At 60.0% G+C, this 21,364-nt stretch overlaps 1 protein-coding gene across 1 annotated transcript, besides 9 other annotated features; it reads left to right on the plus strand.

The window, feature by feature from the left end:
• Positions 623-1,512: a silencer, noted in NCBI's record as "silent region_17823". NCBI's record gives its function as "represses an Ori minimal core promoter by ATAC-STARR-seq in GM12878 lymphoblastoid cells {active_cell/tissue: GM12878}" and the evidence as "EXISTENCE:reporter gene assay evidence [ECO:0000049][PMID:35858748]".
• Positions 1,042-20,924, plus strand: GET4 (guided entry of tail-anchored proteins factor 4). Its single transcript, NM_015949.3, has 9 exons — positions 1,042-1,288; positions 10,544-10,622; positions 11,057-11,138; positions 11,858-12,007; positions 15,416-15,554; positions 16,766-16,906; positions 18,228-18,303; positions 18,387-18,459; positions 19,822-20,924. Exons 1-9 carry the CDS (start codon positions 1,134-1,136, stop codon positions 19,908-19,910), a joined length of 984 nt encoding a protein of 327 aa, NP_057033.2. The 5' UTR covers positions 1,042-1,133; the 3' UTR covers positions 19,911-20,924.
• Positions 1,563-1,702: a silencer, noted in NCBI's record as "silent region_17824". NCBI's record gives its function as "represses an Ori minimal core promoter by ATAC-STARR-seq in GM12878 lymphoblastoid cells {active_cell/tissue: GM12878}" and the evidence as "EXISTENCE:reporter gene assay evidence [ECO:0000049][PMID:35858748]".
• Positions 2,592-2,641: an enhancer, noted in NCBI's record as "active region_25476". NCBI's record gives its function as "activates an Ori minimal core promoter by ATAC-STARR-seq in GM12878 lymphoblastoid cells {active_cell/tissue: GM12878}" and the evidence as "EXISTENCE:reporter gene assay evidence [ECO:0000049][PMID:35858748]".
• Positions 8,550-9,306: an enhancer, noted in NCBI's record as "H3K4me1 hESC enhancer chr7:923699-924455 (GRCh37/hg19 assembly coordinates)". NCBI's record gives its function as "activates a minimal SCP1, AML or CMV promoter by ChIP-STARR-seq in naive H9 embryonic stem cells {active_cell/tissue: H9 hESC(naive)}" and the evidence as "EXISTENCE:reporter gene assay evidence [ECO:0000049][PMID:30033119]".
• Positions 10,112-10,825: an enhancer, noted in NCBI's record as "H3K4me1 hESC enhancer chr7:925261-925974 (GRCh37/hg19 assembly coordinates)". NCBI's record gives its function as "activates a minimal SCP1, AML or CMV promoter by ChIP-STARR-seq in naive and primed H9 embryonic stem cells {active_cell/tissue: H9 hESC(naive and primed)}" and the evidence as "EXISTENCE:reporter gene assay evidence [ECO:0000049][PMID:30033119]".
• Positions 10,826-11,539: an enhancer, noted in NCBI's record as "H3K27ac-H3K4me1 hESC enhancer chr7:925975-926688 (GRCh37/hg19 assembly coordinates)". NCBI's record gives its function as "activates a minimal SCP1, AML or CMV promoter by ChIP-STARR-seq in naive and primed H9 embryonic stem cells {active_cell/tissue: H9 hESC(naive and primed)}" and the evidence as "EXISTENCE:reporter gene assay evidence [ECO:0000049][PMID:30033119]".
• Positions 12,064-12,233: an enhancer, noted in NCBI's record as "experimental_100798 CRE fragment used in MPRA reporter constructs". NCBI's record gives its function as "activates a minimal promoter by MPRAs in K562 erythroleukemia cells, with activity observed for the introgressed 7:927298 or rs79351189 variant allele {active_cell/tissue: K562}" and the evidence as "EXISTENCE:reporter gene assay evidence [ECO:0000049][PMID:34662402]".
• Position 12,149: a transcriptional cis regulatory region, noted in NCBI's record as "Neanderthal adaptively introgressed variant 7:927298 (GRCh37/hg19 assembly coordinates) or rs79351189 in the experimental_100798 CRE". NCBI's record gives its function as "modulates activity of the experimental_100798 enhancer by MPRAs in K562 erythroleukemia cells {active_cell/tissue: K562}" and the evidence as "EXISTENCE:reporter gene assay evidence [ECO:0000049][PMID:34662402]".
• Positions 17,516-17,715: a silencer, noted in NCBI's record as "fragment chr7:932665-932864 (GRCh37/hg19 assembly coordinates)". NCBI's record gives its function as "represses an EF-1alpha promoter that drives an FKBP-Casp9 reporter gene in an ReSE screen in K562 erythroleukemia cells {active_cell/tissue: K562}" and the evidence as "EXISTENCE:reporter gene assay evidence [ECO:0000049][PMID:32094911]".
• Positions 20,925-21,364: the final 440 nt, after the last annotated feature.

The raw sequence follows: 21,364 nt of genomic DNA on the forward strand, positions 1-21,364 counted from the left end.
GGCTAGGGCTGGGCCTCAGGCCCCGTTTCTAACTCTGACTGGGGTTTGGACCCCGTTTCCGCAGCCTGACAGGGCTGGAAGCTCTAGGCCGACCCAGTTCCCCCTTCCAGCAGGACCCGATCCTGGAGGAGTGAGCCGTCCACCCAGGCACAGCCGCAGGTCCCCAGCCACGGCCAGGGAAGGACCGCAGGTGGCCTTTCAAAGAGGAGGAACGCCCCTCAGCGATCCTAAGAGGTTGTTTCTGTTTGTTTGGAGACACAGTCTGGCTCTGTTACCCAGGCTGGAGGGCAGTGGTGGGATCCCGGCTCACTGCAACCTCCACCTTCTGGGTTCAAGCAGTTCTCCTGCCTCAGCCTCCCGAGTAGCTGGAATTAGAGGCGCCTGCCACCACGCCCAGCTCATTTTAGTATTTTTAGTAGAGACGGGGTTTCGCCATGTTGGCCAGGCTGGTCTCGAACCCCTGACATCAGGTGATCCGCCCACCTCGGCCTTCCAAAGTGCTGGGTTTACAAGCGTGAGCCGCGGCGCCCGGCCCTATAAAAGTATTTTTAATTTATAAGCATTTTACACATTGAACTGTATAGCTCAATGGCTGCTGTTACACCGCGCGCGTGGGGAGGGTCCCACCCCGGGACGCTTCCTGCTCGGGGTCAGCCGCCGCCGCAGCCTGTTTACGCGCAGCGCCCCGCCAGGCAGTTTCGTGCCACCCGCCATTGTGGCGCGAGCCAGTCCCGGCCCCGGGTCACGTGCCGCTCCCGGGCCCGCCCTGGGCCACGTGTTGCCTGCGGACCCGCCTCTGGGCCACGTGTTGCCTGCGGACCCGCCTCTGGGTCACGTGTTGCCTGCGGACCCGCCTCTGGGTCACGTGTTGCCTGCGGGCCCGCCCCTGGGTCACGTGTTGCCTGCGGACCCGCCCCTGGGTCACGTGTTGCCTGCGGACCCGCCCCTGGGTCACGTGTTGCCTGCGGACCCGCCCCAGGTCACGTGCAGCTAGCCGGCGCGCCCGCCCCCGACTGCGCGCGACTCCTCGCGGGCCACCGTAGAAGGGCGTCGGGCGGCCGTCGGGACGGAAGCCGGGAGGCGCTGCCGACCGCGCCTGCGACAGCGTCAGCCCTGCGCGGAGCGCCGGCCCGATGGCGGCGGCGGCGGCGATGGCCGAGCAGGAGAGCGCCCGGAACGGCGGCCGCAACCGCGGCGGCGTCCAGCGTGTGGAGGGCAAGCTGCGCGCCAGCGTCGAGAAGGGCGACTACTACGAGGCGCACCAGATGTACCGGACCCTGTTCTTCAGGTACCCGCGCCCGGCCCTCGCCGCAGCCCAGCGCCCGCCCCCGCCGCCTCCCATTGGCCGCGCCGCCTCGCCCCGCGCCCCCATTGGGCCGCGCCGCTGCCCGTCGCGGGGGCGAGCTGGACCCAGGGGCCGCGGGTCGCCCGGCGGAGGGTCTGGGCCGCGTCTCCGGGGTCTGGCCCTGTGTGGCCCGGCGCCCCCGTTCCCTCGGCCTCTGACTCCCGCCTCGGCTTCCTTCCCCTCTCCTGCGTTCCTCCTCGGCCTTCCCCTACTCCCAGCCTCCACCTGTTCCCTCCTCCGTCCCCACACGCCCCTCGGCCTTCCTCTGTCTCCTCGGCCGCCTCCCGCCTCGTCCTTCGGTCTCTGTCTCTCTCCGGCCGCCTCCCCCGCCCCACCTTGGTCTCGCTCTCTCTCTCTCTCTCTCTGGCCTTCTCCTTCTTCCTTTGCGTCTCTCTCCCCGGCCTCTCCCGGCCCCTCGTCTCTCTGTCCTCGGCCTCTCCTTGCCCCCCGCCTCGCTCTCCCTGGCCTCCCCCTGCCCCTCGTCTCTCTCTCGCCGTCCTCCCCCTGCCCCTCGTCTCTTTCTTCCAGCCTCCCCCTGCTCCCTCCGTCTCTCTCTCCCCGGCCTCCCCCTGCCCTCACTCCCGTCTCTCTACCCTGCCTCCCTCTGCCCCCCGCCTCTCTCCCTGTCCTCCCTCTGCCCACCCCCCGTCTCTCTCTCTTCCTGCTGCCCCCAACCCCGGCTCTCTCCCCAGCCTACCACTGTCCTCGTCCCTTTCGGCTTCCCTCTCCTAGCCTCCACCTCCCCTGGACCTCCCCCACCTCTCCCGTAGTCTCCCCAACTCCGCTTCCTTCCGCCGGGCCTTCACCTGCTCCCCACCCCATATCTCCCTGTCCCAGATCTCCCTGCCCGGCCTCCCCCTCCCTGTTCTCCGGCTCCACCGCCCCTCCCCCACCTCCCTCCACCTCTCCCTTGGCCCCCACCTGTTCCCCTCCCCGTGGCCTTCCCAGATCTTCACCTTCCCCCCCGGCCCCCCGCCTTTCTCTCTCAGGCCTCCCTGCCCGGCCTCCCCCTCCCCTTCCTCTGTCTCCACCCCTCCGGGCCTGCCCCTTGCCTCCCCCACCTTCCCCCCTGGCCTCCACCTGTTCCGCATTCCCCCACCTCCCTGCCTCCCTCCTCCTGGCCTTCAGGTTCTCCAGCCGGGCCCTACACCGGGCTCCGTAGGAAGTCGCTGGCGTTCCTCTCACCGAGGGTCCAGGCTGAGGGTGAAACCGCTTCTCTGTTGACGCCGCCCGGCCTGCCGAACCGAGTCAGCCGCCTCTGGACCTAGGCTCGGTGACACCTGCACGGCCGGTGTAGCCTGGAGGGCGAGCGCGAGCAGAGCTGGCTATGCTGGGTTAACTGCACGCCCCTCGGGACTGTGACCGCTTGGAAGTTCCAGGCTGCTGCGTGGCTTGGTTGATTGTCTTCAGGACTGCTCTGTTCCAGTATTTTTGCTGTCATACAGTTACTGCAGAATGTTCAGTTGTTCTGTGTGTGGCATTCTGTAAATTATGCATATCAGATTATCTCTTATGGTTCAGGTCAGGGAACAGTCTGGCCAGTCACTAGGAATTGGGTCTGTTTTAAAGATCATTTCAGAGGATTTAGTATTTTCCATGGGGTACCTTCTAAACTGCCACAGGGCCGTGAATGTTTTGATATTGTATTTAAGGGCAGTTGGTCTGGCCTTTATACAGTTTGGGCCTGGTTTTCAGGGGTTTTTTCCTTTTAATAAACTTTTTTTTTTTTTTTTTGCGACGGAGTCTCGCTCTGTCCTCTGTCCCAGGCTGGAGTGCAATGGTGGGATCTCGGCTCACTGCAACCTCCACCTCCCGAGTTCAAGCTATATTCTCCTGCCTCAGCCTCCTGAGTAGCTGGAATTACTGGCGCGCACCACCACCCCCGGCTAATTTTTGTATTTTTACTAGAGACGGGGTTTCACCATGTTGGCCAGGCTGGTCTCGAACTCCTGACCTCGCGATCCGCCCACCTCGGCCACCCAAAGTGCTGGGATTACAGGCGTGAGCCACGGCGCCCGGCCAGTAGACTTTACTTTTTAGAGCAGTTTTTGGTTTATAGCAAAATGGAGTGTGGTGTGTCCTGAATTCCCCCTTTGGACAGCCTCCTGCCCCACAGACACCCCCCCCCGAGTAGAGTCCCTCAGGGACCCATCACTCACATCGGGGTGCATGCCTGGTGTGTGGGGGGATGAGGAACCCCATGAGAGCATCACGCAGTGCAGCTCCACTCCCTGAAGACCCTCTGCTGGGCCTAGATTTTAAATATTTTCTTTCCATAGCAAGTGGAATTGTTACCTGGAAAACTCTGGAGGTGCCACTTTGGTTGTAGTTTGCTAGTTCATGTTTGAATTAAACACCGTCTGTCACGCCCAACCTGTGCCTGCGCCCCGCTGGCTGGAATGTAGCCTGGGTAAGCGAGTGGCCGGCACGCCGCGGTGCCACGTGCTGGTGAGCCCAAGCGAAGGTGGACTCAGCAGCCCCAGCCACGGAGTGGATGCCATTTCGTTGCTTAAAACACTTGTTTGTGCCAGGAAATGAGAAAAGAGGAGTGTTTGTGTCGGTAGTTGTCAATCTTAGCTGACCTGAACGGGCTGGGATGAGGTCCTGGCATCTGTGTTTAGTGTTCACATTGTTTGTACGGACCTACTGAGCAGCCCGGGCTCAGGACAGTGCATGTGGGCCCCTGATCGTGGCTTATGAGGAGACATCTTACATGACCTGAAGGGCAGCCTTGTTTCCAGAATTTTCTATTAACCTCAACATAGTATAAATACACACCAGCCAGGCTACATCGCATTTTACTGTTGTGTTGTAGATGCTTTTCTTCTTTGAAAACTGAGCTGTTTAATTGGTTTAGAAAGAGATTCGCGTTCCTCCTTAGATGGAACTACTAATTTTATCTCTGGAAGAAACAAGTCTTTGATGCATGACGTTTATAGCAATACGTTTTTAATGCCAGTTGAATTTGTCACTGAACATTTAGCAGCTCCCAAATGGCACGGGTTGTGATAGCGCCTTCAACCCGATTGTTCTTCAGGGATCAAGGCAAAGGTGTCAGGAGGCACTAAACCGTACAACGCGAGCCTTCCCGTGGGTAGAGGGGCCAGCCATAGAGCTGTGTGATGGGGAACTTTTATGTTGTTCAGCATTCACCCTGATGCCTGCCGTGCCTAGGAATTTGTATATAAATATTTGCCCAATTTGCCGGGCGCAGTGGCTCATGCCTGTAATCCCAACACTCTGGGAGGCCGAGGCGGGCAGATCACCTGAGGTTGGGAGTTCAAGACCAGCCTGGCCAACATGGAGAAACCCTGTCTCTACTAAAAATACAGAATTAGCTGGGTGTGGTGGCGCATGCCTATAATCCCAGCTGCTCCAGAGGCTGAGGCAGGAGAATCGCTTGAACCCAGGAGGCGGAGGTTGTGGTGAGCCGAGGTCACGCCACTGCGCTCCAGCCTGGGCGATGAGAGAAACTCTGTCTCGATAAATAAATAAATATTTGCCCAGTGATTAACCAGCAAAAATGGATCTCCCCCGAAATAAACACAGTGTTCCTTGTTTTGAGCCACTTCTACGGTGACGAGGGATTTGTCAGTTTTGGTTTTCAGTGATGAGTCCCTGGTCAAGGGTGAATTTTCACAGTGAAACGGGGGGTGATGAGCATTCTGCTCCCTTAAGCCCTCTAGACAGCAGGCCCTGCTGGCCGCATGTGACATCGTGAGGTCACCTGGCAGGGGCACGGTGTGGCTTAGCTCGGAAAGCCTGGGCTTTGGGGTCACACGCCACCTCTTACGGGGCCCGGGACACGTTACTGAACCTCTCAAACCTTGGCTTGGAGCCTTTCAAGCCAGGAATGAAGACTGAGTCAGCAGCGGCAGCTGTCACCTCGCTGTCACCCACTGAGACACTGTCGTTGTCTTTCCAGGGTAGAATTCCGTGTGGATTCCCAGCTCTGCTTCAGAGTATTCCATGGGTGTATCGCCGCCAGAGAAGTCACATTCCCCAAGTTACGCTTTTTGTTTTTTGAGACAGAGTCTTGCTCTGTCGCTCAGACTGGAGAGCAGTGGCGCGATCTCAGCTCACTGCAGCCTCTGCCTCTTGGGTTCAGGCAATTCTCGTGCCTCAGCCTCATGAGTAGCTGGGACTACAGGTGCCCGCCACCACGCCTGGCCAATTTTTGTATTTTTTGTAGAGACGGAGTTTCACCTTGTTGGCCAGGCTGGTCTCGAACTCCTGACCTCAGGTGATACGCCCGCCCCAGCCTCCCAAAGTGCGGGGATTATAGGTGGGAGCCATAGCACCCAGCCATTTTTTAAAATGCTTTTATGTCAATAAATATATGTAATTGCACATTTACATTTAAATATTTATGTAAAATGTATAATTTGGTGAGGTCTGACATGAATGAACTATGACCAGTCAAGACACAGAAGATACCACGGCACTGTGGGGCTCTGCAACCAGGCCTCCTCGCCCCCACTCCCACCCCACCCCACCCCATCCCCGGCACCCGTGCATCTGCGGGCTGCACTTAGGTGAGGTGGTGTTTCCTGGAGTTTTACGTATGTGGAATCACAGTGCGCACTTTCTGTCTAACCGCTTGAATTCATTCACCACGGAGGCTGGGAGACTCCTCCTGGAGCGTCCGCAGTTCCTTTTATCGCTGAGTGGTTTTCCCTGTGTGTCTCCAGCACAATTGTTTATCCCTTCAGCTGTCGGGTAAATTTACCAAAAGATACTGTTTGTTGACTTATTTTTAAATATTCTTATGTTTATTTTAGCCTCGGGCAGGTGTGCAGGCTTTGTTGATTTATTTTTAAATATGCTAATGTTTATTTTAGCCTCAGGTCTGTGTGCAGGCTTGGTATATAGGTAAACTAGTGACTAGGGTTTGTCCTACAGATCATTTCAGCACCGGGTACCAAGCATGGGTACCTGACAGTTTTGTTAAAATGGTTTTCTGAGCCTCTCCCTCTTCCCTCAGGCCGGCCCCAGTGTGTGTTGTTGGCCCCTTTCTGTCCCTGTGTTCTCATCATTCAGCTTCCACTTGTAAGTGGGGAAGTGTAGTGCCCGGGATTCTGTCCCCGCATTAGTTTGCGAAGGATAATGGCCTCCAGCTCCATCCAAGTTCCTGCAAAGGGCATGATCTTGTTCCTTTTTATGGCTGCATAGTATTCCGCGGTGTATATGGACCACATCCTCTTTATCCGTCTGCCGCTGACAGGCCCCAGCTTGATTCCATGTCGGTGCTGTTGTGAGTGGTGCTGCAGTGGGCATTTGAGTGCGTGTGTCTTCATGGTAGAACCATTTAGAGTCCTCTGGACATAACCCAGTAGTGGGGTTGCTGGGTCGAACGGTAGTTCTGTTTTTAGTTCTTTTAAGAATTGCCAGACTGCTTTCCAGGATGGTTCAACTAATTTACACTCCCACCAGCAGGTACAAGCGTTCCCAAGAGATGCCATTTTAACTCACAGCCACAGCAGTTGAAGGTGAAGGAGAGGGAAGGAATTGGGAACCCAGCAGGTTGGTGTCCTTGGATATGTGCCCCGCAGAAGTCGGGCAGCAGTTCCTGGTTCGTGTGGTTACGCTAGAGAGAAACTGACCTGGTTCATCTGGTTACGCTAGAGAGCAGCTGACCTTGCCCCATGGATGGCGCGAGTTATGGGCGGCCGACCTTGCCCCGGGGATGGCGCGGGTTGTGGGCGGCCGACCTTGCTCCAGGGATGGCGCGGGTTGTGGGCGGCCGACCTTGCCCCGGGGATGGCGCGGGTTGTGGGCGGCCGACCTTGCCCCGGGGATGGCGCGGGTTGTGGGCGGCCGACCTTGCCCCGGGGATGGCGCGGGTTGTGGTCATCACCTGCTTTCTCCAGACTTCTCCCTGCTGGGACGGGGAGTCATCTCCCAGGCCAACTGGATTATTGGGGCACTTCGGAGCCACCATCCAGGTCTTGAGGAGCCTCAGCCTTGGCTGTAGTATTTGTACATTGGCATTTAGAAACTTGGTGTGGCTGAGACCACAGCCCAGGAGGCTGTGACCTGCAGCAGCTGTCCCCCTGTCTGCCCACACGGTCGTGGGTCTGGCTCTTCCTGCCACTTGGCTCCTCCTGCAGTGTGTTTGCGTGATTTTTTTTATTGCGGCCTCTGACCTTCTTTTGTCTCTTCAGTCATCTAAAGAGATTTTTAAAAGGAAAACGGTCTAGTGTGTGCGGTGCACCCCTAGCCCAGGGCCTAAGAGGAGCGTCTTGTGAAGGAGCTGTACCTGCCGGCTCAGGTCCCTTCTCGGAGTGACTCCTGGCAGAGCAGAGCAGGCCTCAGCCCTCCTTACAGGCGCGTCCAGCCAGCCCTGCGTCCGGGCGTGAGTGCGCTTTAGCTCGCGGCAGTCGGCGGAGGGGTCCTTGTGAAATCTCCTCTGGCCCCCTGTCCCGAGGCACCTGTGTGTGTCTTGAGTATTTCCTCTTCATCCTTCACGTGTCCCTGACAGCTGAACGCGCAAGCCAGCTTCCGTCTGCCAAGAGAGAAGGGCGGGATTCGCCCCATGAGCTCGGTCTTTCTTCATTTGACACCGACAGTCTCGGCCACTAGTTCTAATGCTTGCGTTTCTGTGTTCTGCTTTTTAATGTTTTTGTAAGAGAAGAGCAAAATCAGCTAGATTGTTTGCCCAGACACTTTGCTCTGTGGATACAGATGTTTTGGCCGGCAGAGAGCACCAGCGCTCACTGGCTCTCAGCGCCTGTCAGCAGGCAGAAGCCATTTCCCTATCTGGAAGGCACGTCTGGGTGTCCACATGGCACGGCCAATAGTGCGCAGCATGCAGAGCCGGGCCGGGAGAAGGCCCGGCCATGCCCAGCTGCCCCCCACTCTCCCCGGCCTCGGGCTTGAGAGGGTACCTGTCCTGGCTTAGTCACCTGGAAACCAAAATCCTTCGCAGCTTCCAGAATTCTCCAGTACAGGAGGAGAAGCCGTCCACGTTCAGAGCCGCCTTAGACGGTTTGCCTGTCACCGGCATTCCTGGACCTGGAAACGGGTGCCCCCAGCCAGGCCGGGGACCACTGTGTGCCCAGAATTCTCCTCCCGTCCTTTTTCCCCTTGCCCGGCTCCCAGCTGCCCAGGGAAGAAGGGAGCCGGCTGCAAGGCGCAGTCCAAACCAGGCCGGGGGCCGTGACCATCGGCAGTGCCCCCCAGAGCAGGCTCCTCGTGCAGGAATATGGGTCACTGCCTTCCAGGGAGTCCTTTTTTTCTTCTGGTTTCTAAGTCGCCACCTCTTGCTTTACCTCAGATAGAAGCATCCAGAACGCTGTAGTATCGGCAAAGCAGAAGCTGGTGTGGTGCTTGCTCAGGGTCGGTGCATGCGGTTCTGCCCGTGGCCCCACTGGCGGCATCGTGAGGCCAGGCGTGTCTGGGAGCTTGTTTTTCCAGAGTGCCCTGTGCCAGACGGCTCCCGGCCTCCTCTGAGTCAGTCATGTCCCTGCAGGACTGGAACTAGGACGGCCGGTCACAGAGTCAGTGGTCCTGTCGAGGCTCCTGCTGTGGTGTTGGGGTGGGTCTCCCTCCAGAACCTTCACTGTGCGGGGAGCACAGCAAAACCGGAGGCCTGCCAACGGCCTGCAGGCTGACGGGGGTGCGGGGGCACTTTCTCTCTTGGGTGCGGGCTTTTCCCTCCTGGTGCCCTGCCTCTGTGCAGCACGAAGCGGTCTCCTGTGGGGGGAGGGCCTGTGTGCCAGGCTAATGAGATGCCCGGATGTGGCGGGGCTGTCTGTGTTTGGGGTCCCTGGCTGTGGTGCCTTCTGAAGAGGAGCCCTTTTCTGTGGTTAACTGAGCATCCAACCCTTTGCGTTCTCGGCTGGCCTTCCCGTCCTGGCAACACCAAGGTCATTCTGGTCCTCAGTGGCGTTGCTGTGGCTCTTTATCACCTCCACTGCAATTGGTTTTTGTTTGTTTGTTTTGGGGGGATGGCGCCTCGCTCTGTCATCCGTCTAGGCAGTGGTGCAATCATGGCTTACTGCGGCCTTGACTACCCGGACTCAAGCAGTCCTCCCACCTCAGCCTCCCGAGTAGCTGGGACCACAGGTGCACACCACCATGCCCAGCTAATTTCTGTGTTTTTTGTAGAGACAGGGTCTCACTATGTTGCTCAGGCCAGTCTCAAACTCATGAGCTCAAGCGATCCTCCCACCTCAGCCTCCCAAAGGGCTGAGATTACAGGTGTGAGCCCCCGAATCCGGTGTGCACTGCTGTTTACTTAGTATTTTTCTTTAACTAGATTTATTTTTAAACAAGGCTTTGTCCAAGGACATTTGGCTCGCAGGCACAGAGCTGATTAACTCGTTATGTATCTTTTGATAATAAGGCAGCGATCATTAAGAAAAACGTGTAGCCAATGAAATAACATGTTCTGGGCCCCACCACTGGACTGGGAGGTGCAGCGCATCCAAGCAGAGGCTGCCTCCTGCCCTCCACGCCTGCTGCTCTCGCAGGCAGGGGCTCTGCTGCTTACAGCAGTGCGGCCATCTCGGCTTCTCTCCACATCGTCTGTCACGCGCTGGTCCCCACCATACCTCTCGCCACCCCGTGCCTCTGTCCCCGTGCGGCCTGAGGAGCTCCAGCTTTCCCTGCCAGCGGTGCTCTGGGAGTGGGGACGTGATGCAGGGCGAGCATGATGCAACGGGGCACCCCAGACCCTTCCCTCCCGTGGGGGGAGGGGTGTGGCACGCAGAGGGGCAGAGGGCGGGGACACTGGCCCCGTGGGGGAAGAAGGTGCTGTCACAGCCGTTACTGTCCCCCGTGGGACCCCAGCCTGGAGCCCCCCATCCTTTGGCTCCTGCCTGTGGCCACTCAGCTCTCAGGTGGCCACATGCACATCCCCTGCTCCTTCCCTGCGCACCTGCCCTGCCCAGTGGCCTTTCTGGTCCCAGCTACTGAAACCGGTGAGCTGCTCCAGGGTGAGGCTGCTTTCTGGCTCCTGGTGTATTTGGACACAGATAGGCCCTTAGTGTCCAGAGGCGCCCCATGCAGCCCTCATGGTCAGCAGGACACCCAGGATAGACCCCCTCCACGCAGCACCTGGGCCCTGGGAGCGGCTGCTTTTAGGATGCCACCTGTTCCTGGGCGCCTTGTTTTTAGCTTCTGACCTGAAGATGAGCGGGGGAGCGCGGTGGCGAGGGCACGTGGGCGTGGCTCACGGTCTCCTCTCTGTGGCAGGTACATGTCCCAGAGCAAGCACACGGAGGCCCGGGAGCTCATGTACTCGGGAGCCCTGCTCTTCTTCAGCCATGGCCAGGTAAGCCGTCTTGCTTCCTCCTGCATCCCTTTCTGCTCCGGGCAGGCAAGTGGAGGTGGGAATGACCTCCCACCTCCACTGATGGGCAACCTTGCGCTGCCCTGGGCCTCGGCCACTGGGGCTGTGGGTGGCAGAGGGGCCCAGAGTCCCCCCTGGCTTGGCTGCTCCACTCTCAAGACTGGGGCTCTGCGCTGCGTTTGTGCACGATGGGGCTGAGAGGGCGTTGTGTTGGTATAAACGTCCCCGTCCATTTTCATGTGATTCTCGGCCAGGAGCTCTCTTTTTCGGCGGCATTGCCAAGGGACGTGGTGCTCAGAAGAGACTCCTCAGCACCGGCCGCACTCTGGCTTCTGCTGGAAACCCAGCCTTGTCTTTGCTGTCCTGAACAGGTCAGGGCTTTGTTCTTGATTCTTGTGTGTTGCTTTCTCTTGTAGCAAAACAGTGCAGCAGACTTGTCCATGCTGGTCCTGGAGTCCCTGGAGAAGGCGGAAGTGGAGGTGGCTGACGAGCTGCTGGGTGAGCATCCGGCCCTTCACCCCGGGACCCTGTGACAGCGGCCCCAGTACGCCCCTCCCCGGGTCTCTGCGCTGTGTTTCGTGTCTGCGTTTGGGGGTCTTGTGTGCTGTGGGGTGAACTCTGCTGCAGAGGCAGTTCCCACCCGGTCTCAGTGAGCCAGGCCCCCTGGCTGACCCTGGCGCGAGCACACGGCAGGCTGAGCAGGACCTGCTGTGATTCGTAGGCAGGGCATGACTGGGGCCCTGTCCTCTCCACTGCTCCGATGGACAGTGGCCTCCCCGCCAGCTGGCAAGGTGGGGCACCACTTTGGCTTGTCGGCCTGTCCTGTCGGGTGACGTGCGGTTGGCAGAGCCCTTCTGTGAGCTGCCTGGCTGCAAGTCCCACTCCTAGTCCCTGCTGCTCTGGGAGATGCCCCGGGCCAGAGCCAGGTACCCAGAGCGGCCACAGCTGTTCCTGGACTCCAGCTCCCCACGGCACCTTCCCCAGCCCCCGCCTCGGCCAGGGCGTCCGTCCTTCCTTCCTCGCTGTGCTCTGGGGCACATGGCGCTGGAACTGCGGTGGGCAGCTCAGTGTGGTGGTCCACGGCTCACTCAGGGACGCCCAGCAGGTTCCTCTCCCTGTTAAGTAGTTGCGAATGGAAATCCACTTCTGTGGGGAATGTGGGACAGAGAGCCGGAGTGGCCGTGCGTTCCTCTGATGAGGGTCTGTGCTGTTTGCAGAAAATCTGGCTAAAGTGTTCAGCCTGATGGACCCCAACTCTCCTGAGCGCGTGACCTTTGTGTCCAGAGCCCTGAAGTGGTCCAGTGGGGGCTCCGGGAAGCTGGGCCACCCCCGGCTGCACCAGCTGCTGGCCCTCACCCTGTGGAAAGGTAGGCCTGGGGCCAGGGCAGGCGTGGGCACCTCTCTGCTCTCGGCGTTGATTTGCACTGTGCGTTCCAATACATCAGGGTCACCCACCAGGGCAGAGATGGGGTTTCACCCTGTGGTCACGCGGGCCGGTCCATGGAGACCCATGCGCCATGCTAAGCCCGGGATCAGAGCCACTGCACCCGAGAAGCTGCGAGAAGGGGGGCAGGCGGCCGCCTCTCCAGGCCTTCCCGTGGGACGTTCTGACCCTCAGGGAGGCAGCCGTGCCTTCACGGGGCCTATGCGTGCTGCTGCTCCTTTCTGGAACATTCTTTCCAGCGCTGGGATGGTGCTGTGCCCTGTTTTTCTCCTTTACGCTGACCTCATCTTCTGATGAAGCCTTTGCGGGGATTAATCACCCTGTGGTGGGGTCTGGCTGTCTGCGTGGTGTGGTTGGTGTTTTTAGTTCCAGGTCTGCAGCTCTGAGGCGGGAGTGGTGCTGGGTAGATATTCATTGAGTGACTTGAACGAGGTGCTAATGGGGGTTTAGAAGCGTCCTCCCCAGGGCATTCCCTGGGATGGCAAGTGGCACCAGCGCTGTGAGATGGTTTCCTTCCTGCCGTCAGGCGTCAGGAGGCCTGCTCGGGTCTGCATGTGCCTGGGCTTGGCAGGTGGGGAGGCGGCACCCAGGGCAGCCCCCGCATTGGAAGCTCTAGGAACTTGGATCTAGGCTGAAGGCCTTTGCTCTAGAGTTCCGGATTGCTGAGCTTGGAACAGCTCCTCCTAGACACAGTGTGGCGCGGGAGCAGCTGCATGAGGGCCCACGTACTCTGCACACATCAGCAGCCCATCCGACCTTGTCCCTGGTCATGCGAAACGCATGCCCATCCGACCTCCGACCTTGTTCCTGGTCATGCAGGTTCCGCCTGGGCTGTGACAGGAGGCTCGGCGCCCTCAGGCACCTGGCAGGCTTTCCCGACCTTCTCCCTGAGCGACAGGAATGGGAAGTGAGCAAATCCAAGTAGAATTAGGAGGCTCTCCTCAGAGGAGCCTGGCGGAACCCGGTCCTGGCTGTGTGCCGAGTGGCGGGGCACCCACAGGGAGATGAGCCAGTGCCTATCTCTTGCCTCAGTCTCCCCGTGGTCGCCTCCTTCCTCAGAAGGGGCTGGCCCAGGCTGGTGCCTCCGTGGCCCCTGGAGCATACCTGCTGCCGCCTTCCCTGGCCTCTGGCGACAGCAGGCCTTCCGTACTCCACCTGTCCCCCAGCCAGCATGGCTCCACACAGAACACGGCCGCAGACAACCCTCCTGTGTCCTGCATAGCGAACTGCCACTCTGCGTGGGCCCCACTGCCAGGTTAGGGAGGCAGGAGCTGCCCCCACCCCCTGCCCGGGAGCTGTCGTCTGTCTTTCGGATGAGTCAGGAACAAATGCGTCAACACTGGGTGGCCGCCCTCGCCACTCCTGCGCACGGGCCCTGTGGGGAGAGCCAGGCAGTGGGTGGCGTGGGACAGGTGATGCCCATGCCCAGTACTCAGGAGACCTGCATGGCAGCTCCTAAGATGGGTACAAGCGATCATAAGGAGGGATGTACGTGTCTCATCTCCCCACCCACCACGGGATCAGGTTGAGGCCGTCCAGGGAGTGCATGGGAGGGCTGCGCTCGGCGCATCTGCAGAGATCCCCTGAAGAGGGGCCCTGGCTGCCTCCCACTGGGGTAGGTGCGGGCCCAGGTCCCCGACACCGTGACGGTGCTGTGGGACTTTGATGGACCTCACCCGGGGAGCCCAGGCCTGCTCCACGGCAAGGTGGCCACGCACTGCCTCTGCAGTCCTGAGCACAGGCTCCATACGGGACCTGAGGCCTGGGCTCCATGACACTTGGGCTATGTGCTTCCCTGGTGCTTCCCTCCTGGGGATGAAATCACACCCATAGGTAAAGGTTTGGGAGTGGAGGGAGACAGCAGGAGACAAAGCAAGGGGACGAGGACTCTGGCAGCCACAAAGGCAGCGGGAGGGCCCTGGAGGCTCCTGTTGGGCAGCGCAGTCAGGAAAGGGCCCACTAGGTGGGAGAGGCAGGCGCCTGGTGAGTGCTGAGATCTGCACCACGAGAAGGGCTGGGCTCCCAAGGCATGCATGGGGCCTGGGAGTGGAGGGAGTGTGAGCGGGTGTTAGGACGGGGTCTGGGGCGAGCGGGTGTTAGGACGGGCCTGGGAGCGGAGGGAGTGCGAGCGGGTGTTAGGACGGGGTCTGGGAGTGGAGGGAGCGCGAGCGGGTGTTAGGACGGGGCCTGGGAGTGGAGGGAGCGAGAGCGGGTGTTAGGACGGGGTCTGGGAGTGGAGGGAGCGCGAGCGGGTGTTAGGACGGGGTCTGGGAGTGGAGGGAGCGCGAGCGGGTGTTAGGACGGGGTCTGGGAGTGGAGGGAGCGAGAGCGGGTGTCAGGACGGGGTCTGGGAGTGGAGGGAGCGCGAGCGGGTGTCAGGACGGGGTCTGGGAGTGGAGGGAGCGCGAGCGGGTGTTAGGACGGGGTCTGGGAGTGGAGGGAGCGCGAGCGGGTGTTAGGACGGGGTCTGGGAGTGGAGGGAGCGCGAGCGGGTGTTAGGACGGGTCTGGGAGTGGAGGGAGCGCGAGCGGGTGTTAGGACGGGTCTGGGAGTGGAGGGAGCGCGAGCGGGTGTTAGGACGGGTCTGGGAGTGGAGGGAGCGCGAGCGGGTGTTAGGACGGGGTCTGGGAGTGGAGGGAGCGCGAGCGGGTGTTAGGACGGGGTCTGGGAGTGGAGGGAGCGTGAGCGGGTGTCAGGACGGGGTCTGGGAGTGGAGGGAGCGCGAGCGGGTGTCAGGACGGGGTCTGGGAGTGGAGGGAGTGCGAGCGGGTGTCAGGACGGGGTCTGGGAGTGGAGGGAGTGTGAGCGGGTGTTAGGACGGGCCTGGGAGTGGAGGGAGTGTGAGCGGGTGTTAGGACGGGCTTGGGAGTGGTGTGTGTTCATGAGATGTTGAGGGTTGGTTGTTGGGTCAGTGTGGTGAGAACATCAGGCTGGTTTCTGCTGTTGATCTACATCCGAGGTGCACTGGCCTGGGCCCTGATTATATTGCGCCCTGTAAGTTGCTTCTGGTAGGTGAGAAGGGTCACATGGTAACACTAATTGGTTATCACAACGAACATTAGTGCAGTTGGATTAAGCAGCTCCAAGAGCTTGGAGAATCAAGATGTTGCATAGCTGAGTGACTTTTCCCCGTGGATCTGTTGATTTGGTGCTGCGTGTGAGGCCTGGGCTGGCTCTGAGTCCCTATCAGGACCTCTGCCTGTGGGCTCTGGCTGGGCTCTCCTCCAGGGCGGGCAGGTGGGCTAGAATTAACATGGAGTGTCTTTCCCCCTTTCCTTTTCTGTGTTATATTCGTGAAATGTATTTACATTTTTCTGTCTTTCCTTTGCAGAACAAAACTATTGTGAGTCGAGGTATCATTTTCTGCACTCAGCGGACGGGGAGGGCTGTGCCAACATGCTGGTGGAGTATTCCACGTCCCGCGGCTTCCGCAGCGAGGTGGACATGTTCGTGGCCCAGGCCGTGCTACAGTAGGTGTCTGTGGCTCTTCGGGTCTCGGCTTCCATTGCTGCCTTGGCTGGGCAGCCTTAGAACAGGTCCCCTTGTCCCCTGTCCGAGCCGAGCTGCAGGATAAACTGAGTTCACTCTGGGCAGAGCCCACAGTGCACTTGTCAGCCTGACCCATGATTTTTCATAAGTTTAACCAATGTTAAGAAGTATTTTAGAAACTCCCCCTTTCCCGACGGGCACTGGAGTGCCCTACACACGCCCCTCGCCTCTCGCCCACTGCCGGGAGGCCCTGTGGTCTCTGCTGTACTCAGGCCTGCCTCGGCCAGTTCTTTCCCGCACTATCTGGAAATGCGTGGAATTGTGAGCATCTACCCCGCGGCCCCTCCCGCCAGCTCGCTGGGGCGTCCTGCAGGCCAGGCTCCGGGCGCTGTCTGCTCCTGCGTGGTCCCTTCCGCCAGCTCGGGCGCTGTCTGCTCCTGCGTGGTCCCTCCCGCCAGCTCGCTGGGGCGTCCTGCAGGCCAGGCTCCGGGCGCTGCCTGCTCCAGGGGCTGGCCTTCGCTTCCTTTCTCACGAAAGCCTTACTTGTGCCCGTCAGTTTCTTCCCACAGAACAAATATGGATTTCAAGGCGGGCGTTGGGGATTTGATGTAGGATTTGGGGACAGACATCCTCTGACCTCAGCGTTGCCCGCTGCGGAGCTTTGCCAGGAGCTGGCGTCCGTGACTTAAGTGAAAAGCTGGGTCAAACCCAGAGCTCCCTGGCTCTGCGCTACGCCGTGTACATGTTTTCTCTGGGCTGACAGGGGCCCTGCCCCTGGGGCACTGAGCCCTCCCTGTGGGTCCTCGAACAGAAGCCAGGGTCTGTGCGGCACCCACCAGCTGCTGGGCCATGGCGGAGTGTTCTGGTGCGGGCCAGCGCCTGACCGGTGCGGGCGGCCTCAGGAGAGGAGAGCTTGCTCAGTGCGTCACGTAGTCAGGGCTCAGGCTGGGGCCCGGCTCCAGAGCCTGGTCACATTCCCAAGCTTCATTCTCTTCACCTGTGAATTGCAGGCTTCCCTGGTGTGCCCTGCACATGAGGGAAGACACGCGTGAAGCACTGGGTCCCTCCATGGCCTTGGGCCGCAGGAACCGTGGGCGCACGAGCTTGGGAAGGACATGTCGGAGGCCGGCGCCTGTGCGGGCAGAAGCTGTGTCCTCCAGCCCTTCCACCACCAGCATGTTCTCATTTCCAGGTTTCTCTGTTTAAAAAACAAAAGTAGCGCATCGGTGGTCTTCACGACGTACACCCAGAAGCACCCGTCCATCGAGGACGGGCCTCCGTTTGTGGAGCCGCTGCTTAACTTCATCTGGTTCCTGCTGCTGGCTGTGGACGGGTGCGTCTTGGGATCCTGCAGGGGGAGGGGGCTGTGAATGTGCGGGTTGTGTGTAGACGTGGTGTGGATAGCTGTGTGGGTGTGTGTGCAAGTGTAGCCATGGTGTGGGTAGCCGTGTGGGTATATGCATAGGGTATGAGTGCTGGGTGTAGACGTGGCATAGGTGTGTGTGCAGGTCTGTTGGGTGTAGACATGGTAGTGCGGGTAGCTGTGTGGGTGTATGTGCAAGTGTAGACATGGCGTGGGGGAGTGTAGGTGTTGGGCCTCTGGTAGTGTGGGTGTGTGCAGGTGTGGGGTGGTGTGGGTGCAGACGTCTGGGGGGTTGTGTGCGGGTGTTGGGTATCCATGTGGTGTGGGGGTGTGTAGACGTGTATACAGGTGTGAGTGCAGGTGTAGACGGCGTATGTGCAGGTGTTGCGTGTCTGGTGTGGGTAGTTGGGGTGCGTGCAGGTATGTGTGTTGTGTGTAGACGTGTGGGTAGCTGTGGGGGTGTGCAGGTGTGTGTACTGGGTATAGACGTGGCATGGGTTGCTGGGTGTGTGCAGGTGTTGGGTGTTTGCAGGTAAGTGTTGGGGGCGGGCGTGGTGGTGTTTGCAGGTGAGGGGTGTAGGCGTGTGTGCAGGTGAGTGTTGGGTGTGGGCGTGGTGGTGTGTGCAGGCGAGTGTTGGGTGCGGGCGTGGTGATGTGTGCAGGCAAGTGTTGGGTGTAGGCGTGGTGTGTGCAGGTGAGTGTTGGGTGTAGGCGTGGTGGTGTTTGCAGGTGAGTGTTGGGCGCGGGCGCGGTGGTGTGTGCAGGTGAGTGTTGGGCGTGGGCGTGGTGGTGTGTGCAGGTGAGTGTTGGGCGCGGGCGCGGTGGTGTGTGCAGGTGAGTGTTGGGCGCGGGCGCGGTGGTGTGTGCAGGTGAGTGTTGGGCGCGGGCGTGGTGGTGGTTGCAGGTGAGTGTTGGGTGTGGGCGTGGTGTGTGCAGGTGAGTGTTGGGCGTGGGCGCGGTGGTGTGTGCAGGTGAGTGTTGGGTGCAGGCATGGTTGCAGGTGAGTGTTGGGCGCGGGCGCGGTGGTTTGTGCAGGTGAGTGTTGGGTGCGGGCATGGTGGTTGCAGGTGAGTGTTGGGTGTAGGCGTGGTGGTGTGTGCAGGTGAGTGTTGGGCGTAGGCGTGGTGGTTGCAGGTGAGTGTTGGGCATGGGCGCGGTGTGTGCAGGTGAGTGTTGGGCGCGGGCGTGGTGGTGTGTGCAGGTGAGTGTTGGGCGCAGGCGCGGTGGTTTGTGCAGGTGAGTGTGGTCCTGTTCTGCTCACCCAGCACATCCCTGTGTGTCTCTGTCCCAGTGGGAAGCTGACGGTGTTCACTGTGCTGTGTGAGCAGTACCAGCCATCCCTCCGGCGGGACCCCATGTACAACGAGGTGAGAGCTTGGGGCTGGGGAGGGAGGAGGGGACCCCACGGTCTGGGTCCACCCCCTCTGAGCCCGCTGCCTGTGCCTTGCAGTACCTCGACCGCATAGGACAGCTGTTCTTCGGCGTCCCGCCCAAGCAGACGTCTTCCTACGGGGGCCTGCTCGGTAAGCCGGGGCGCCCTTGTCACACCCACTCCAGCCCTGGGTCGGTGTGGGGTCATCATCTCTGCCCAGGCAGGTCCAGTGCGGTCCTTCACGTGGAAGTGGTTTTCTGATCTTTTAAATGTTTCTCAGTTTACTTTTGTTAGTAGGAAATTATTAGATTTCAGAGTTGAGAATTCTGGCACGGTGGCTCGCAGCCCCGTCTCCACTCCAGAGCTCCCCATCCCTGAGGTGTCTTCCATTTCCTGGCAGGGATCACATCACGTGGCTGGCTGCGTGCTCCCCCGTCTCTCTGTGCGCCATGCTAGGTGGCCTCCGTGAGCCTGGTGTGCCCGGGACGCTGCCAGCCGTCGTGCTGGGGCAGGCAGTGCTGCCGTGGCTTTGGGGTCGCGGCGGGGCGGGTGTCTCACTGTGGGTGGTGGTTCGTGGCACCGCGGGAGAGGCCCCTCACTGAGCCGCCTGCCTTCCCAGCGTCACCTGTCTGGGTTTATTTTAGTGGGAGGTGTGAGGTGGTGACCTCTCCCCACAGATGTCTGCCCTGGTGCAGCTGCGTCCTGTGGCAGGCCCTGTCCTCCCCGGATGCCCCCCCCAGACACCCTGGCCCTCACCGTGCCCCGTGACACAGGCACCTCCACCCCAACACCCGTCAGGAGCGCCCTGACTCTTCTGACTCTCCAGTCGAAACCGCAGCCTGAGCTCCCGTTCCACAGAAGCGCCGTCAGGGCGTGTCCTGAGATGGGGTGACGTCGTGGATAAGAGAGGGTGACACTGCCACGGCCGTGTCTTTGTATTCAAAGAACACGGTGTAACGTCTCGTTTGGGTTCAGGAGACTTTTGGAGCTTTGGCTTTGTACGTACAGAGTAGTTGTTGATTGGATAAAAATCAGATGACAGTGACCGCAGTTGGCCCCTGTGGGAGCAGCCGTTGAAGCTTTGGCACATCCAGTTGATTCATGTGTCACTGTAGGGCGCAGTGTGCTCTACAGCCCCACTTCTCTGCTCAAAAATCTCTTTCCGTGAGGTGGTGTTGGTTCTGTAGGTCCCTCCGTGGCTCCTGTTGGTGGGTGTGGAGGGTGGTTCTGTAGGCCCCCGTGGCTGCTCCATGGCCCCGTTGGTGGACGTGGGAGGGCCGTTCTGTGGAGTCCCCCGTGGCTGCTCCATGTTTGAGTATCTCTGTGGTCGTCGGCTCCCTGGCCTCCAGAGTGTCCTGTCCCGGGGTTCCTGGGTCGTAGACAGTAGCGATGTGAGGCTTTTGCTTGTTCCATGGGACACTGGGACACCTTGTGAGACGTTTGTGGGAAGGAGGGGCTTGGGGGCCTGTGGGAGGCTGCCCAGGCGTGACTGCCACGGTGTTCTTCTTTCCAGGGAACCTTCTGACCAGCCTCATGGGCTCCTCAGAGCAGGAGGATGGGGAGGAGAGCCCCAGCGACGGCAGCCCCATCGAGCTGGACTGAACTGGCCAGGCCACGTGGAGACACCACGGTCGACGACGGCTGGAGGGACGTTTCAGAGGCGAGTCCTGGGTGGCTCCTCGCCTTGGGGGCTCCTGGCCCTGAGGCTGGCGGTGGCCGCATGCCGGCGCGTGTCTGTTTCTGTGCGGCGGCTCAGGGTGGCGCGGCTGCTGCTCACTGTGCTGCTGGGACCCAAGAGTGGGGCGTCGCCCCTGCTGGCCGCCGCGTCCCCCGAGATTGACCCACAATAAAGCACAGGCCTTACCGCGGCGTCACCCTCTCCCACTCCTTTGTTCTGGGTCCTTTCGGGAGGGCTGATGGGCAGCACAGGAGGCCCGTCCTCGGGGGGCTGCGCACATCACGCTCCTTGCCGGGCGTCCGGCACAGCTGCGGTCACCAAAGCAGGTGCTGGCCCTCGGACCTGAGAGCCCAGCCAGGGCCCATGTGGTCTGCAAATGGGAGCGGCTGTTTTTGAACACGGGGTCATTCTGCAGTCAGGACGAACCGGTCCCCGTCGCAGACGGAGTGCACGTGCCCTGCGCCACATCCTCACGCTCGGTGGAGGGACGCGTGCGGCGGGACGGTGCCTACGGGTACTTGCAGCTGTGTCCCATGTGGCATCCCAGAGCTGCGCCCTGCTGGTCTCTGTGAGCGCCACGCTGCTGTGCTGGAAATGCCGCTTTAAAAAGGGATACCGTGGGACTCTGCCCGTCTCTTTCATAACGCAATATTTATTTGTATTGGGTGATGATTGATTCTTTCGACCTAACATTTTGGGTTTTAACCAAATAACCGGTCCAGGAGTGAGCAGCTCCGTTCTGTCAGATGCTACTCCAAATGTTACCAGAACGATGACAAAAGGGGAGACGCTCTATTTTTTCACAGTTAAATGACAGTTGTAGATTGATACGCAGTTGTGCATGGGAAGGGGAAACGCACAGCTTTATTTACTGTAAAGTGGAATTTCAGGAAGGCTTGTGTGAACCGTTGCGCATAAATAAACCCTTTCTACCGGGCTGTGCAACGCTGGTCCTTTCTTGGGCGCTGGTGTGGGGGATCTCTCTCTGCTCTCAGGGCTGTGCCTGGGAGCCCCCAGAGGAGGCGTACCCTGTGGCCAGACTGCCCGTGCGTGGACGGAGCAGAGGGCTATCAGGAAGTCACGTTCACTTGGCTGTGATTTTAGAAATAAGTTTTGTGTAATTTCATCAAAATTCATAAAAATCAAATCCACCAGGTCTGGGTGTCACAGCCTCAAAGAGCAGGCCCTTGGGCTGCAGGGGAGACAGTGGCGCAGAGCCCTGACCCTGTCCTAGGTGCTGACAGGACACCCGTCCCTCCCGTGTGGCACTTGCTTTGAGCAGCGAGTTCGATCCGGAGTGACCAAGGATTTTGTGTGCGGCGTCACTCGGGCTTACCGTGAGACGGCAGGAACAGCCGGCCGGAGCCCCGCAGGCGGC

This window comes from Homo sapiens, chromosome 7, assembly GCF_000001405.40.
Source record: "Homo sapiens chromosome 7, GRCh38.p14 Primary Assembly".
In the NCBI taxonomy this organism is placed as follows: Eukaryota; Metazoa; Chordata; class Mammalia; order Primates; family Hominidae; genus Homo; species Homo sapiens.

Coding starts and splice junctions, on each gene's coding strand:
- GET4 (NM_015949.3), top strand. CDS start 1,134: ATGGCGGCGGCGGCGGCGATGGCCGAGCAGGAGAGCGCCCGGAACGGC. Junction 1,289..10,543: donor TACCGGACCCTGTTCTTCAG/GTACCCGCGCCC, acceptor TCTCTGTGGCAG/GTACATGTCCCAGAGCAAGC. Junction 18,460..19,821: donor TTCCTACGGGGGCCTGCTCG/GTAAGCCGGGGC, acceptor TCTTCTTTCCAG/GGAACCTTCTGACCAGCCTC.